The sequence below is a fragment of the Homo sapiens genome, chromosome 14 (genome assembly GCF_000001405.40).
Source record: "Homo sapiens chromosome 14, GRCh38.p14 Primary Assembly".
Taxonomy (NCBI): domain Eukaryota; kingdom Metazoa; phylum Chordata; class Mammalia; order Primates; family Hominidae; genus Homo; species Homo sapiens.
The window spans coordinates 20,228,643-20,233,835 of record NC_000014.9 but is presented as its reverse complement, the minus strand read 5'-3'; the positions used below and the strand labels follow the sequence as shown (position 1 = coordinate 20,233,835).

Below are 5,193 nucleotides of genomic sequence, written 5' to 3'. Positions count from 1 at the left end.
CAAGGATACCCAGGAATTGAACTCAGCTCTGCACCAAGCGGACCTAATAGACATCTACAGAACTCTCCACCCCAAATCAACAGAATATACATTTTTTTCAGCACCACACCACACCTATTCCAAAATTGACCACATACTTGGAAATAAAGCTCTCCTCAGCAAATGTAAAAGAACAGAAATTATAACAAACTATCTCTCAGACCACAGTGCAATCAAACTAGAACTCAGGATTAAGAATCTCACTCAAAACTGCTCAACTACACGGAAACTGAACAACCTGCTCCTGAATGACTACTGGGTACATAACGAAATGAAGGCAGAAATAAAGATGTTCTTTGAAACCAACGAGAACAAAGACACAACATACCAGAATCTCTGGGACGCATTCAAAGCAGTGTGTAGAGGGAAATTTACAGCACTAAATGCCCACAAGAAAAAGGAGGAAAGATCCAAAATTGACACCCTAACATCACAATTAAAAGAACTAGAAAAGCAAGAGCAAACACATTCAAAAGCTAGCAGAAGGCAAGAAATAACTAAAATCAGAGCAGAACTGAAGGAAATAGAGACACAAAAAACTCTTCAAAAAATTAATGAATCCAGGAGCTGGTTTTTTGAAAGGATCAACAAAATTGATAGACCGCTAGCAAGACTAATAAAGAAAAAAAGAGAGAAGAATCAAATAGACGCAATAAAAAATGATAAAGGGGATATCACCGCCGATCCCACAGAAGTACAAACTACCATCAGAGAATACTACAAACACCTCTACGCAAATAAGCTAGAAAATCTAGAAGAAATGGATAAATTCCTGGACACATACACTCTTCCAAGACTAAACCAGGAAGAAGTTGAATCTCTGAATAGACCAATAACAGGAGCTGAAATTGTGGCAATAATCAATAGCTTACCAACCAAAAAGAGTCCAGGACCAGATGGATTCACAGCTGAATTCTACCAGAGGTACAAGGAGGAACTGGTACCATTCCTTCTGAAACTATTCCAATCAATAGAAAAAGAGGGAATCCTCCCTAACTCATTTTATGAGGCCAGCATCATTCTGATACCAAAGCCAGGGAGAGACACAACAAAAAAAGAGAATTTTAGACCAATATCCTTGATGAACATTGATGCAAAAATCCTCAATAAAATACTGGCAAAACAAATCCAGCAGCACATCAAAAAGCTTATCCACCATGATCAAGTGGGCTTCATCTCTGGGATGCAAGGCTGGTTCAATATATGCAAATCAATAAATGTAATCCAGCATATAAACAGAACCAAAGACAAAAACCACATGATTATCTCAATAGATGCAGAAAAAGCCTTTGACAAAATTCAACAACACTTCATGCTAAAAACTCTCAATAAATTAGGTATTGATGGGACGTATTTCAAAATAATAAGAGCTATCTATGACAAAACCACAGCCAATATCATACTGAATGGACAAAAACTGGAAGCATTCCCTTTGAAAACTGGCACAAGACAGGGATGCCCTCTGTCGCCACTCCTGTTTAACATAGTGTTGAAAGTTCTGGCCAGGGCAATTACACAGGAGAAGGAAATAAAGGGTATTCAATTAGGAAAAGAGGAAGTCAAATTGTCCCTGTTTGCAGACAACATGACTGTATATCTAGAAAACCCCATTGTCTCAGCCCAAAATCTCCTTAAGCTGATAAGCAACTTCAGCAAAGTCTCAGGATACAAAATCAATGTACAAAAATCACAAGTATTCTTATACACCAACAACAGACAAACAGAGAGCCAAATCATGAGTGAACTCTCATTCACAATTGCTGCTAAGAGAATAAAATACCTAGGAATCCACCTTACAAGGGACGTGAAGGACCTCTTCAAGGAGAACAAGAAACCACTGCTCAATGAAACAAAAGAGGATAGAAACAAATGGAAGAACATTCCATGCTTATGGATAGGAAGAATCAATATCGTGAAAATGGCCATACTGCCCAAGGTAATTTACAGATTCAATGCCATCCCCATCAAGATACCAATGACTTTCTTCACAGAATTGGAAAAAACTACTTTAAAGTTCACGTGGAACCAAAAAAGAGCCCACATTGCCAAGTCAATCCTAAGCTAAAAGAACAAAGCTGGAGGCATCACACTACCTGACCTCAAACTATACTACAAGCCTACAGTAACCAAAACAGCATGGTACTGGTACCAAAACAGGGATATAGATCAATGGAACAGAACAGAGCCCTCAGAAATAACGCCGCATATCTACAACTATCTGATCTTTGACAAACCTGAGAAAAACAAGCAATGGGGAAAGGATTCCCTATTTAATAAATGGTGCTGGGAAAACTGGGTAGCCATATGGAGAAAGCTGAAACTGGATCCCTTCCTTACATCTTATACAAAAATAAATTCAAGATGGATTAAAGACTTAAACGTTAGACCTAAAACCATAAAAACCCTAGAAGAAAACCTAGGCATTACCATTCAGGACATAGGCATGGGCAAGGACTTCATGTCTAAAACACCAAAAGCAATGGCAACAAAAGACAAAATTGACAAATGGGATCTAATTAAACTAAAGAGCTCCTGCACAGCAGAAGAAACTACCCTCAGAATGAACAGGCAACCTACAAAATGGGAGAAAATTTTCGCAACCTACTCATCTGACAAAGGGCTAATATCCAGAATCTACAATGAACTTAAACAAATTTACAAGAAAAAAACAAACAACCCCATCAAAAAGTGGGTGAAGGACATGAACAGACACTTCTCAAAAGAAGACATTTATGCAGCCAAAAGACACATGAAAAAATGCTCATCATCACTGGCCATCAGAGAAATGCAAATCAAAACCAAAATGAGATCCCATCTCACACCAGTTAGAATGGCAATCATTAAAAAGTCAAGAAACAACAGGTGCTGGAGAGGATGTGGAGAAATAGGAACACTTTTACACTGTTGGTGGGACTGTAAACTAGTTCAACCATTGTAGAAGTCAGTGTGGCGATTCCTCAGGGATCTAGAACTGGAATTACCATTTGACCCAGCCACCCCATTACTGGGTATATACCCAAAGGATTATAAATCATGCTGCTATAAAGAGACATGCACACGTATGTTTATTGCGGCATTATTCACGATAGCAAAGACTTAGAACCAACCCAAATGTCCAACAATGATAGACTGGATTAAGAAAATGTGGCATATATACACCATGGAATACTATGCAGCCATAAAAATGATGGCTTCATGTCCTTTGTAGGGACATGGATGAAGATATTAAGATTTTTATGTGTTATTTTTACCATATATTGGGGCCAACCTGCTCCCATGGAGCACATTTCTGAAACTAGAAGCTCGTCAAAATATGATCAGATACATGAAGAGTTTTGCTTGTACAAAAGGATGGCGATGACCATGAATAAAATCAAGTCAGTTAGTGTTAAAAGAAGAGGATTATTCTTCCAATCGCATTAAGAGTCATTGGGTTATAAAAAACCCTATTCATGATCTCTGGATAATTCTCATTCCACAGAAGACATGATGGAGGGCATATTTCATGTCCTTGTTGCGTAGGCTGTAGATGAGGGGGTTTAAGACAGGTGTTACCACAGAATATATCAGTGTGATGAGCTTATGCATAGCAACTGAGTTGCCAGGTGTGGGACTCACATACATCAGCATTATGGCTCCATAGAACAGAGACACAACAACCAAGTGTGACCCACAGGTAGAGATGGCCTTTTGCCATCCAGCTGAAGAAGGAACCTAAAGCACAGTTCTGAGCACCAAGGTATAGGACCCAAGGATGTACACCATGGTGAGGTTGATGAAAAGAGAGCTCACAGAATGGAACACATGCCCTATGATGTGAGTAGGGGCAGAGGACAATGCCATCAGTGGGTCTACATCACACAGAAAATGATCAATGATGTTGGGACCACAGAAAGGTAGTTGAAAAATGAAGAAAATGGAAATTGAATGTCCAAGGAAACCAATGAGCCAACAAAGAGACACCAAGATGCCACAGAGCTGGCCAGTCATAATGGAGGGATAGTGCAGTGGGTGGCAGATGGCCAGGTACCGATCATAAGCCATGACACAGAGGAAGAAGCATTCAGTTGTGCCCAGGGAAAAGAAGAAGTGGAACTGAGTGAAACATCCAGAGAATGATATGGTCTTAGTTTTGGAGAAAAAATTTACCAGCATGTTGGGGACTGTGCAGGTCACATACCAGATCTCTAGGAAGGAGAAGTTGGCTAGGAGCACGTACATAGGGGTATGGAGTCGATGGTCCCACCTCACTGCACAGATGATGGCCATATTCCCAGTCAGAGTGAAGATGTAGACCAACAAAATCATTGAGAAAAAGATGATCTGAATTTTCCAGGGACCAGGAAACCCCAACAACACAAACTGCGTCACAGTAGATATCTGTGAGTTATTCATGCTTCCCAGACTGTGGAGAGAACACCGATGGTCAATGACAATTTGCTTTGCTGATGAAGCATCTTGAAGCTTTTTTTGGGATAAGGAGTTTGACTCTTGCAGGTGAATATATTGGATATTCTAAAAGAATTCTTAAGCACACCTGGTTTATCTTTCTCAAATGAGTCCTGTGGGTCTGATTCTTGTAAACTTCAGGTTGTTTGAATTTTCTGTGGCAATGGACAAAAATCAACATTTCATCTTCTTTTGATATAAAGAAATTCTTGAAATAGAGGCAAAAATGGTTTGTTTTATATCTAATTTGTTTTTCAGTGAAAGATGTTCATATATAGCAATTACTTATTGCTGTTCACTTCAAATTATGAAGACATATGCCATCATTTTTAATATATTCAAGTCTGAGACTTTTTACAGCTTTGAGTAGTTTGTACTTTTGACATTATTTCAGATTCTTTCTTTCCGGAGCTATTTCTGTTAAGAGTATTTATTTTCTTCCAATTTTTTTAGTGATACCAGGAGAAAGTCAACAAGGATATTTAGATAATAAAATTCTTTATATATTTTGCTTTTTCCTATTTAGAGACATTTATATTGTACTACAGCTTATTTACAATTTGGTATTTAATCATTTGCTTTTAGCAATAAAATGTCATAATTATTCATTTCCTGGTGATTAATTTCACATTATAATTTATCATGCTCCATATACCTTTAAAAAGAAATATTTCATTAAAGATAACATATAAGATAGCGAAGATA

At 38.2% G+C, this 5,193-nt stretch overlaps 1 pseudogene across 1 annotated transcript; it reads right to left on the bottom strand.

The window, feature by feature from the left end:
• Window positions 1-3,086: 3,086 nt before the first annotated feature.
• On the bottom strand, window positions 3,087-4,855 carry OR11H7 (olfactory receptor family 11 subfamily H member 7 (gene/pseudogene); annotated as a pseudogene). Its single transcript, NR_145509.1, has one exon. The product of NR_145509.1 is annotated as an olfactory receptor family 11 subfamily H member 7 (gene/pseudogene), transcript variant 1, non-coding (transcript).
• Between the last annotated feature and the right edge of the window lie 338 nt (window positions 4,856-5,193).